Below are 12662 nucleotides of genomic sequence, written 5' to 3'. Positions count from 1 at the left end.
CTCTGGTGTCCAATCCTGTGTCTGTGGAGCTGGGAGGGAACTCAATGGGAGCAATCAAATTAGCAGGGGCTTTGGGAGGCCGAGGCAGGCGGATCACCTGAGGTCAGGAGTTTGAGACCAGCCTGGCTAACATGGTGAAATTCTGACTCAACTAAAAATACAAAAAATGAGCCAGGCATGGTGGTGGGTGCCTGTAATCCCAGCTACTTGGGAGGCTGAGGCAGGAGAATCGCTTGAACCCGGGAGGCAGAGGTTGCAGTGAGCTGAGATCACACCATTGTACTCCAGCCTAGGCAACAAATGTGAAACTCTGTCTCAAAAAAAAAGCAGGCAGCCTGGTGGAAATGAATCAAAGTGGATTCGTTCCTGCTTTTTCTAAGGACCAATTACTTCTCAGTATCAATGCCAACTGAACCACACTGTCTGAAGTGACCCGACCAGCCAAACACCACTGGCTTGTCCTGTCTGGTCTCCACCCCCAAATCTGGGCCTGGGAATTGCATGGACTTTGGACTTGGAGGGGCTCAGCTAGGCCCCAAAACTGTGCTCAGAACTTCTCCCAGCTCGGAAAGCCCCAGCCTAAGAGGGAAACTCAACCAGAGGAACTTTCACGTCAAATCTAGAAAGCTCACTTCTACCTAGGAGGGGTGTGGTGGAGGGGCCTGGCTCAGCCTGCTGTGCTGTTAGGGCCCCCACAGCAAGTCCGTGGAAGGCCACATTTTTTTTTGGAAATAGGTTCATGTGAGGGGTTGCGGCATCCTTCATCTTAGGCATACCTGCCTGATGCGTTGGGGCTGTGCTGCTTTGCTTCAGCCCTTCTCGAAAATGTGCCCACACTAAGTTTTCAAAACAAAAGCAGATGCTTTAATAACAACAAGGCCTCGTGTACCTATTTCCCAGATGACCAGCTCCAACAGTGGCCTTGACAGAGGCCCCTCCTGGACTCTGAGAAAGGCACCTATGCATGCATAACACCCATCAATGGTGCAGAGCAATAGAAAAGTACAAGATGACCGGGAGAAGAGCTGGAGGAGTTCAGGGAATGCCAGCCCAGGGTGGGCTCTGGCTGGGAGTTCTGCAATCGGGGTCAAGGGCTCCATCTTGGTAACCCCTCTGGCTCCAGCACAGGGGGTGGCCCACGAAAGGTGCTCCGGACAAGTTTCCGCAGCCAGGAGGACGGCTGGTTCCACACACCCAGGTGGACCCTTCTGTCTGGGAGGGGCCTACAGGAGTGGCCCGGATGGGAGCCTTTGGGGCCCAAAGCTGGAGAGAGGCTGCCCTCTGCTGGCTGATCGGGAGGGCCTGTCGGCGACCGTCCTGTGCCTTGCACCACTAGCTGTCTTGCTCCCGGGCCACTGTTTTTCAGTGCAGCCCCACGGTGGGCAAGGGGCCCTGACGCACCTCCTGGGAATAAGACCTGGGTAAAGGCAGTAGGCTGTAAGCCAGCTGCGGCCAGGCCAGGAAGCACTCACTGGACGGTGAAGGGCCAGCCAGAGGGGCGCATCAAGGAAGGAGGAACACCAGGCAGGGGAGGCACTTGGGGAAGGAGGGTCGGCTGACGGGGAGGGGGCCCAGCATCTGCAAGCGCGGCGCTTGCGCCGTCCCGGGAGACACCAGGTGGTGCTGTGGGGTCAGGGCAAAAGGCAGGCGCTGCGTTTCCGCGCACCCCACGCCCTCCTCCTCTCTCTGTGGACCCTGAGGACTCAGCTCCTGCGCAAGACAGCGCACGCGTCTAATCCCCGACGCTCACTTCTCCTTGGAGGGCTGTCGCGCTTCGGGGCCCTGTGGAATACCAAACCCTCACCAAAGAGTGAGCAAGGACTCTTTTTTTTGAGACAGAGTTTTCCTCTTGTTGCCCACGCTGGAGTGCAATGGTGCGATCTCGGCTCAACGCAACCTCCGCCTCCCGGGTTCAAGCGATTCTCCTGGCTCAGCCTCTGAGTGGCTGGGATTACAGGCATAAGCCACCCCGCCCGGCTAATTTTTGTATTTTTTTGGTAGAGACGGGGTTTCTCCATGTTGGTCAAGCTAGTTGGCCTAGAACTCCCGACCTCAGGTGATCTGCCCACCTCGGCCTCCCAAAGTGCTGGGATTACAGGCATGAGCCACCGCACCCGGCCAGGGTGAGCTAGGTCTTTATGTCCACTTAGGTATTTCTTTTCTCGTTTCTGTCATCTCCGAGCAAGGCGTCCAGGGCGACCTCGGGAGAATGTGTTTGGTGGGAGCTATGCCCAGCTGCAGGAGCGGTAGAGCCCTGGGCTTTTTAGGATGTGATGGAAAATAGCTGCCGCTCCCGATGGGCGGCAGGCCCAGCCTCCTCGGGCTGCCCTTCTCCAAGAGCCTTAGCAAATTGTCCGGGTCACCTGAGAGGCTGGGGAGGGACAGGAAGACCACGAGGCCGACTGGAGGGTGAGGATAGAGATCTTGGGTAGCGGGGGTTGGGGGGCGTTAGAGCTGCTATTAAGTGTGGGAGTGATCCCTGAATCAAGGGCCACAGAAATTATTCGAGAGGGGCTCCCAATCGCTTCTCGACCTTTTGGCTAAGATCAAGTGAGGGGGGCACCCAGCGAGGAACGATCCCCCGACTTAGATCAGTGGAGGTGAGTGTGGCGGAGTGAGGAACACAGGGATTAACAACTGGAAGGTCCGGCCCTCCCCGCGCCTCGCCTCCGTGCCACGCCCAGCCCCGGCCCCGCCTCCAAGCCCAACCTTTATTCTGAGAATCATTGGGGAAGCCTTTAAAAATGGATTCCCAGCCCCACCCCTAGAGATTCTGATTCGGTTGGCCTGGGTGGGGCCTGGGAATCTGTATTCGACAAGCTGCTCTGGTGATTCTCTGACGCTTGCCCGGGCTCAGCCGGGCTTGAGAACCTGCGGACCAGCCCAGCCTCCTAGTAGGTGCCGGCCTCCACCCGGCCGCTCAACCTCAACCACTTAGCTGCCAACAGCTCCGCGCCCCGCCCCGCCCCGCCCCGCCCCGCCCCGCCCCGCAGCTGGGGCTGCCTCTGAACGGTTCTAATGATTAGAGAGGACTTCCTGGAACTTCCTATTTCTGTCCCCTAGAGTCATCCAGAACAGGTCTAATCCCTCTCCTGCATGACAGCGCTTCAGAGATTTGAAGACAGCTGTCGGCTGCCTGAGTCCGCCCCTCCCCACCAGAGATCCCCTGGCCTTTCAGCGCTTCCTGATGGAGGCACCAGGGAGCCCAGTGAGTCCAGTGGAGGAGGAAAAACACAGCCAGGGGTTGGGGGCCGTCCAGTGGCCAGAGAAACAGACTGGGGACTTGCAATAGGTCAAAGGGAAAAAACAGAGGCAGCTCCCCCTGAGAAACGCCTGTCCCCTGCCTTTCTAGGGTGCAACTTCCTCCAACCTAGTCTTCTTTTGGACATTTTGGAAACATTATTATTCATCCAACTTGTGTGCTTACTATATGCTATAGACTGTTTGAAGACCTTTAATGTATTAACTCACTTAATTGTCACATTACTCATCCATCTCGTGTGCTTAATATATGCTATAGACTGTTTGAAGACCTTAAATGCATTAACTCATTTAATTCTCACAATAGCCCTATGAAGTAGGTGCTGTCATTTTACCCACTTATAACTGATCAAACTGAAGCCAAGAACCAAAGAACAATTCAGCAACCCTCTCAAGGTCAAATTGAGCAGGATATAAATGCAGGCAGCTGGGTCCAGGTCCCATCGCTGCAGTGCTATACCTAACATCCTTGCCTTAAGAGGAGACAATTATGTACTGGGAGTATGAGGCCTGGTGCTGGAATGGTGAGTTAGGACCATAGCAATAGCTAACAGTTATTGAGCACATACTATGTGCCTGGCACTGGTCTAGATGTTTTCTTATTTGATCCTCATATAAGCACTAGGAGGTAATTATATTATCCCTTTATTATATAAGAGGAAACCGAGATTCAGTGAATTTTAGAGACTTACTCAAGTCCCTGGCAAGTGGTGGAGCCAGGATTGGAACCAGCTCTGTGACTTTGGGCCTGCCTCCTCCCCTCTGGGTGTCGGCTCCTCATTTGCGAAGTGAAGACGTTGGCCTAAATTAGTTCTGAGGAAATGCTTCTCAAGCTTTAATGTGCATATGAATCTCCTGGGGATCTTGTTAAAATGCAGATTCTAGTTTTGGGTGGGGCCTGAAATTGGACATCTCTCACAAGCTCCCAGGGGTAGGTGGTGCTGATGTTGCTGATCCTGGGACCACACTTGAACAGCCAAGCTTCAGGGGATCCACCCAACTCTGATGTCCTGAGTTTATGGGCCTAGAAAGACTCACCCTAAAGGCCATGAAAATTCAGGAAGCAGATTATCGTGAATAAAGCCTTTAGTGGGCATTTTCCATGCCTGGACAAGCCCTTAGTTCCTTTTCAGAAGCACCTGCTCCTGAACCTTCTACATTTCCACTCTGTTGACCTCAACCTGACTCTTCAAGAGAGTTCAAGGTCTTGGTCCCAGGCCAAGGGGGATTGTTGCTCCCTGCTGGAGGAGTGAAGAGGTATCTCTGTGGCTCTGCCTTCTGGGTACCCAGCAGTCCCATGGCAATCACACTGTCTAGTCCTTTAAGAGATGTTCACAGATATTCCTGGACACACAGTAATATCTACGTTTACATTTAAGGGTTACATTTGGCCTCTTCCCTTGAATTTTGATGTGGTGATGTGGCTTGCTGTGGCCTCTAATTGAGACCAGAAGTGTCACTTCTGAGCAGACTTCTTTTTTTTTATTTTTTATTTTTTATTTTTTGAGATGGAGTTTCACTCTTGTCGCCCAGGCTGGAGTGCAGTGGCGTGATCTCAGCTCACTGCAACCTCTGCCTCCCAGATTCAAGCAATTCTCCTGGCTCAGCCTCCTGAAGTAGCTGGGATTACAGGTGCCTGCCACTACACCCAGTTAATTTTTTTGTATTTTTAGTTGAGACGGAGTTTCATTATGTTGGCCAGGCTGGTCTTGAACTCCTGACCTCAGGTGATCCACTTGCCTCAGCCTCCCAAAGTGCTGGGATTACAGGCGTGAGCCACCGTGCCTGGCCATCTGAGCAGACTTCTTTAATAGGCACGATGTAAGTTTTCATGTCCCTTTTCCCTGTTGTGGAGAGTGTGGAAGTAGGTGTGATGGAACCTCCAGCAACCTGGATATGTGTATATCTCAAGGAGCAGATATACCTCCCCTGCCAGCTCAAGTAGGACATATGGTATGAGTGGGAAGACCTTTGCTATGTTAAGCTATTGGGTTTGGGAGGAGTTTCTTAGCACAGCATAACCTAGCCCATCCTAACTAGTACACATACCAATATCACCTTAGATAGGCCGAGTCAAGTATGGAGACCATATTTCTACAAAGTCAGGATCGTAGCCTGTCAAAGATCTAATGCTTAACTCTGGGGTCTTCTTCAGTAGGAAGGAATATCTTCTTGCAAAAGTAGGGTGGGATTCCTAAAGATGTGAACTCTTCCTCCCCTTCTTTTGCTAGTCCCTGTTAAGTAGAGAACTCTGATTCACCCATTTGCCATTGTGTCCCTAAAGTCTAGCCCAGGGCCTGAATTAAGAATTAAGAATACTTAATTCTTAATTCACACACAATGGGATTTACTCTGAAGTTCCTTTCTATGAATCTTCCTGTAGATCACATCCAAGAATATGCCATGAGCCTTCCTCCCCTCCCTAAGCCCCTCCACACACCCCTCTGCCTTGAGCAATTTGTTAATTTCTCCTTGACCTAAGCCTCAGGCTGGACAACTCACAGCCTCCTTCTCTGCCTGATCTTGACAATGGCACTGCATAGGAGCTTCCCTGTTATCAAAGTCATACTCACGAATAATAATCTTTATAACTCTCATGATGAAACATTTGAAAATCAGAGGCAAGTGGTAAAAAACTCATCCATGATCTCCTCACCTCGAAGGAACTGCTGTTGACACTGTGACCTTTCCTTTCCTATTTTCCTCTGTGCATTCCCCCTCCCCCCATACTTTTAGGGAGAGCCTATGAATGTCTCCTATTTAGGAGGAGAGGGAAAAGCCACCCACAAATGCAGAAAATGGCACAGCTGGAAGGGGACTTACGAATCCTTCAACCAACTCCCTTACATTACCATTGAGAATGCTGCTTTATACTAGTCTGGGTGCAGATGTGTGAAAAGTAAAAACAAATATCTGGCAAGACCCAAACCAAGCTAAGTGATTGTTGTCTCTGGGGTTGGGGGACTAGAAGGGTGGTGAAAAGATACTGTCATGTTTTGAATCTTTTGCAACAAAAATGTATTCAAGTGTTACTTGCATTTAAAGCACATTATTACTAGAAGAAAAGAGAAAGCAACTTTTATGTCAAGGGTTTCATGGCTATTATTGGCATATTGGTTGAGGCCACTAGTTTCCTGGGTATCAGTCAGTCTCCTCCTAGTGTCATTGCCCCTTGGTCAAGTGTCCTCAAGGAAGAGATTCATTCCAGGGCAGCCCATTTTTTCCTACAACATGGGCACCCAGATGCCAAGATGGCATGGGAAAAAGGAAAATTCTGCAGGCCCCAACCTGAACCATTAGCCCACAAGTCCAATCTCTGTAAGACCCACGCTGGGATCAAATGCCTTCAAGCCCAGACTCAGCCCCATCAGAGGGGGCAGTAGGTGCTCTCAAGACGAAAGGGATTCTTGGTGAATCAGGAAAGTTATTGGGCTGGAAAGTGATTAAAGGGCTGAGCGTGGGAGGGGATTTCCACTGAGAGAGCCAGGCCCAGGAGCAAGCCTGGGCGGGTCGGCTGCAGAGTTGCTGCCCACTTGAAGTCTGTCGCAATGGTGCCCATAAAACCCAAGTCATCAGAGACTTGAAACCTTGGTAGGGTTTTTCCTTCTGTTTCCCTTTAGAAAAACAGAGATCCGAGGAAACCCCAAAGTCCTGGAACAAAGGGCTGTACATCAAAGCGGTGCGAGCAGGTCAGGAGAAGTCTGAGGGAGAGGTCAGCTGGAGTGGGTCTCCCAGCCCCCAGCTCCCAGGGAGAGGAGAGCAGTGAGGGACCTGTGGATTGGAGGGTGGGTGCAGAAGCCTGAAGGGAGAAGCAGGGTGGGGAGGAGCAGGGCTGTGAACAGACCCATTTTCATGCCCCATCTAGGTGAGGAGGCACTACCTGGCCTGAGGAATCCAGGGAACAGGTTGAGGAAGGAGTAGTGATGTTTTCTTTTCTTGCCTATACAGGGGTTACATAGCTCCCATAAACTAGCCAGGCTTTTTTTTTTTTTTCAAATATGCACTGAATCTGCAAGATAGAACTTGACAGCCTTCATTTTACAGATGAGGAAACTGAGGTCAGAGAGAGGAAGTGATTGTGTAAGGTGTCACCAAGCTTAGGCTAGGACATGGGTGTCCTGTCTCCTACCTGAGTGCTCCTTCCCCTACACCAGTGGTTCTCACACGTGGGCGTCAGAATCACCTGGAGGGCTTGTTCAAACACGGATTGCTGGGCTCCAAACCCGGGTCTGGGGTGGAGCCTAGAATTTGTATTTCTAACAAGTTCCCAGCTGATGCTGACTCTGCTGGCCTGAGACTACATTTTGAGAACCGCTGCTCTAGACCCTTGCTATCTAAAGTATGTTCTGTTGACTAGCAGCATCAGTGTTACTTGGAAGCTTCTAGAAGTGCAGAATCTCAGGTCCTACCCTAGACCTATTCCATCAGAATCTGCATTTGCAAGATCCCCAGGTGATCCATTTGCACACTGCAGTCTGAGAAGCGCTGGTCTATGCCACACACCTCTTTCTGGACTGGGGGTCAAATTGAGGCAGCCTAGATGAGCCTTCCAACTCCAGTTGCCAGGGGATAATGGAATAGGTGCCCAGGGTCCTGTGGGGGAACCAGCCCCTTTTTTGTGTTCCCCAAGGTTGGGGAGTTCTCTCCAGAACTACAGAGACAGGAGGGGCTGCATGCTCAGCTCTGGGTTTGCTCGGTTCTAGTGTACACACCCGACATCAGGAGGCTCTATGTGCCCACCTTGGGGAATCCTGGGAATGCCTGGAGGCCAATAACTGCCATTCAAGCCTCTAAATCAACCCCTGCTCTGAAGCCAGCCCTTGCGTTTGAAATTCTATTTCAAGAACTTATGTAATACCTATGTGTTTATTTTATTTTAAAAATATGCCTAATACATGAGTATGACATCCAAACCATATTGAAGCATGCTCATAAAATGACAGGCATTCTCACACTGCCCATCCCCATCCTGGACATTCCATAAGTAACATATCACTGTGAATTGAATCCTGTTAGATATAACCTGTACAACAGAGGTGGACTTTGTTCATTGTGGCCATGCTATATACCTTATTAACTCACTGTACTGTAATGTTTCCCCATGAAACAACGTATTTCAGGCATCTCAACCTACTAAGACCTGTAGATCTGTGTATTTTCAACTGCTGCACCGCATGAACATTTATGTACTGTGCAGTTAACTAGATTTTTAGAGAAGCAATGCATGCACAGGATTTAAAAAAATCAAACAATACAGATTGGTGAACAATGAAAAAATAAGTCTCTATCTTTCTTCTTCATTGTTACCTAGAGAAACTGTTAACAATTTATTTTAAATTTTTATTTACTTTTCTAAACAGGGTCTTGCTCTGTTGCCCAGGCTGGAGTGCACTGGTGTGATCATAGCTCACTGTAGCCTCAAACTCCTGGGCTCAAGCCATCCTCCCACCTCAGACTCCTGAGTAGCTGGGACTACAGGCATGTACCCCACTATGGCTATATTTAAAAAATGATTTTGGAGAAACAAGATCTTACTATGTTGCCTAGGCTGGTCTCAGACTCCTGGGCTCAAGCGATCCTCATGCCTTAGCCTCCTAAGGTGCTGAGATTACAGGCAAACCATTTATTTTTGGTATTTAATTAAAATACTTAATTTTTGTAATAGTTTTGGATGTATAGTAAATTTGAGCAGATAGAACAGAGTTCCTGCATACCTACCCTTCCCCCATAGTTTCTCCTATTATTAACATCTTGCATTAATGTGCTACATTTTTTACAATGAATGAGCCAAGATTCATACATTTACTATTAACTGAAGTTCATGGTTTAAACTCACTCTTGTTGTATGGTTCTGCAGGCTTTGATAGATGCATAACGTCACGTATCCACCATTATAGTATCATACAAAATAGTCTTGCTGCCCTAAAAATCTCCTTTAACCATCTAGTGGTTTCCATTGTTTTAAATAATGCAGTTACATTCTTTTCATTAGTTCATTAACTCTAGATTGCATTGATTGTTTCCCCTCCTCTGCATTATCCTTTTCCACCTCCCAGTTTTTGTCAGGTACATTGTCATTTCATTTTCTCATTCGATAATTATTCATTCAGTTCCTACAGTGTATTAGGCAATGTTCTAGGTGCTGGAGCCACAGGGGTAAAAAAAACAGATAGGCTGGACGCGGTGGCTGACGCCTGTAATCCCAGCACTTTGGGAGGCCGAGGCAGGCGGATCACGAGGTCAGGAGATTGGAACCATCCTGGCTAACACAGTGAAACCCCGTCTGTACTAAAAATACAAAAAGTTAGCCGGGCATGGTGGCGGGCGCCTGTAGTCCCAGCTACTCAGGAGGCTGAGGCAGGAGAATGGCGTGAACCCAGGAGGCAGAGCTTGCAGTGAGCTGAGATCGCGCCACTGCACTCCAGCCTGGGCGACAGAGCGAGACTCTGCCTCAAAAAAACAAACAAACAAAAAACAAACTCCCCGCTGGCATAGAGCCCACAAGTAAAGGAGATAGACAATAAGTAAGAAAAATACAATTGTGGATGCTAATATGTGCCATAGAGAAAAATTGAGCAGGGACGGGATACAGTGTGTGTATGTACATCTATGGAAGGGGGTTGTGGCTTTAAACACAGTGTTGGGAGAAGACCCCATTGAGAAGGTAATACGTGAACACAGCTTAGTGTGGTGAAAAAATGAACCATTTGGTGATCTGGGAGAGAGGATTCCAGACAGTGAGGACAGCAGGTGCAAAGGCCCTGAGGAAGGATGGTTGCCAAGTTCAAGGGATGGTGAGGACTGTGGCTGGAGCCAGGGATAGAGGAAAGTACAGGAGGTAAGATCAGAAAGTGAAGAGCAGGTCTTAGAGGGCCTTGCAGGTAGCATCAATGACTTTGGCTTTACTCAGAATGAGATGAGAAGACTCTGGTGGCTTTTGAGCAAAGGAGTGATATCATCCTTAGTTTTAAAGTTTTTGCAGTGTTAATGTACGTCTTGTTTTGTTAATAAATTGTCTTCAACACTTTTCTTTAGATTGAGTCTAACAATTTATGAAGAATTTATATAAGATTAAGTAGACAGCCAGGCGCAGTGGCTCATGCCTGTAATCCCTGCTCTTTGGGAGGCTGAGGCTGGTGGATCGCCTGAGGGCAGGAGTTCGAGACTAGGCTGGCCAAAATAGTGAAACCCCGTCTCTACTAAAAACACAAAAAATTAGCTGGGCATGATGGCAGGCGCCTGTAATCCCAGCTACTAGGGAGGCTGAGGCAGGAGAATCGCTTGAACCCGGGAGGTGGAGGTTGCAGTGAGCCGAGGTCGTGCCATTGCACTCCAGCCTGAGCAACAAGAGCAAAACTCAATCTAAAAAAAAAAAAAAAAGAATTAAGTAAATATAGAAAACAAAAGCTATGTTACTTTTTGCATCTCTCTGGGTCTCATTCTTACCTCTAACCCGCCTTATTCCCATCTTTCTTTCCGCCTTGTCCTGGGTAGCCACCCAGAGGGACCCCTCCTCTCCACTTGGACTTCCTCCTTCTCACACAGGTGTGGAGGTGGTGTGGCTCAGCCCTAGCTAGAACCATTTCCAGCACATTCTTCCCTGGGGCCATTTTGTAGTCTAGCCTGTTCCAGCCGGACTTGGATTTACTGACGGTGCAGATCTGCTTTCTCTTTGGGGTGGGCAGAGGGAGAAGCCAGCTCTGGGCTGCTACCATGGGACATTTTGTCCATCAGCCAGATGTGGAGTTAACAAGTCAATGATAATTGAGTAAGTGATGGGGCGCGGTGGCTCACGCCTGTAGTCCCAGGACTTTGGGAGGCTGAGGTGGGCAGATCATGAGCTCAGGAGTTCGAGACCAGCCTGGCCAACATGATGAAACTCCATCTCTACTAAAAATACAAAAATTAGCCAGGCATGGTGGCAGGCGCCTGTAATCCCAGTTACTCGGGAGGCTTAGGCAGGAGAATCACTTGAGCCCAGGAGGCGGGGGTTGCAGGGAGCCGAGATTGTGCCATTGCACTCCAGCCTGGGTGACAAAGTGAGACTCCATCTCAAAAAAAAAAAAAAAAAAAAAAGAATTGGGTAAGTATCTCTAGGGCCCAGCACTGCTCCAGCCCAGTGACTTAACCAAGAAGTTTAAGTCAGAGCTCCTGTTCCAGGGGATGGGTAGGGATACCTCAGCAGGAAGGGAGGAGCAGCACCAGCCCTCTCTGCACGCTGCTCCCCTGGCTTTTGAGTTCTTCTTGATCCTTCTGATGGCCCAAATAATCCAGCCTGGGCCTGAGCCTCTCCCAGATGTGGCTACCAGGCAAGATGCCAGTTCTAGGGAAAGATTTGGAATGAATCATCTCCCCTAGTCCCAGAGGTCTTGAGATTGGAGGACAGGATTCCAGGTTCCAAGGACCCATTCAGGCCTCCAGGAAGACGTTGTCGTGTTAGGAACTGGATGCTTAGCTGATGAAGACCCTTCCAGCAGTAGAGTATGTCCTGCTAAATTTCCTCCAATGGCCCCCCACCCCCATCTTTATCTGCTCACTCTTGCTATCCAATGTTCCCTTCTCCTGTGTCCAAAAGCCCGCTACCTCGCAACTCAGTAAGCTGAAGAGAAAAGTATGGGTGACTGGATCATTTTTAAAGGAACTATGTGGACTCAGATGTTCATGTATGGGCAGTATGGGTATGTATCATCAAACGATCCTGGGCCCTGTTAGCCACCATGCATTCTCATCTGGACTTTGCCATTTTCAAAGCCATGTGACGCCATTTACATTATCTGACCTCTCTGGGTCTCATTTTTCTCATCGGTAAAACGCCCACAGTGATAATAATATCTGTCTATCATGAGCATCTACAACATGTGAGAGGGCTCTGTACGAAGCCCATACAACTGTGAATCCACCTGGAACTGGAAAGAGCATGAATGAGTCCCAGACCCAGTGTGGGGAGAAGAGGAACTGGTAGAGATAAAACAGCAGTGGCCCACGCATGTAATCCCAGCACTTTGGGAGGCCAAGGCAGGCGGATCACCTGAGGCGGGGAGTTTGAGACCAGCCTGACCAACATGGAGAAACCCCGACTCTACTAAAAATACAAAAAATTAGCCAGGTGTGGTGGCAGATGCCTGTAATCCCAGCTACTTGGGAGGCTGAGGCAGGAGAATCGCTTGAACCTGGGAAGCAGAGGTTGCAGTGAGCCGAGATCGCACCGTTGCACTCCAGCCTGGGCAACGAGGGCAAAACTCCGTCTCAAAAACAAAAACAAAACAAAACAAAAAAATGAGTTAGGGGTAGAGCCTGATCTAGGGCCCTGTTTCCTCAGAGAGAGAACTTTGGATCATGGCAGGACTGTGCCAGGTTGGTGCACCCAGGAGACCCCTGTGGAGTGGTGGGGAGGAGCCATG

General features: G+C 49.4%; 2 annotated features.

The window, feature by feature from the left end:
- Window positions 213-542: an enhancer, noted in NCBI's record as "active region_2320". NCBI's record gives its function as "activates an Ori minimal core promoter by ATAC-STARR-seq in GM12878 lymphoblastoid cells {active_cell/tissue: GM12878}" and the evidence as "EXISTENCE:reporter gene assay evidence [ECO:0000049][PMID:35858748]".
- Window positions 2923-3012: a silencer, noted in NCBI's record as "silent region_1691". NCBI's record gives its function as "represses an Ori minimal core promoter by ATAC-STARR-seq in GM12878 lymphoblastoid cells {active_cell/tissue: GM12878}" and the evidence as "EXISTENCE:reporter gene assay evidence [ECO:0000049][PMID:35858748]".

This window comes from Homo sapiens, chromosome 1, assembly GCF_000001405.40.
Source record: "Homo sapiens chromosome 1, GRCh38.p14 Primary Assembly".
Taxonomy (NCBI): Eukaryota; Metazoa; Chordata; class Mammalia; order Primates; family Hominidae; genus Homo; species Homo sapiens.
This window is presented reverse-complemented; position numbering and strand designations above follow the sequence as displayed.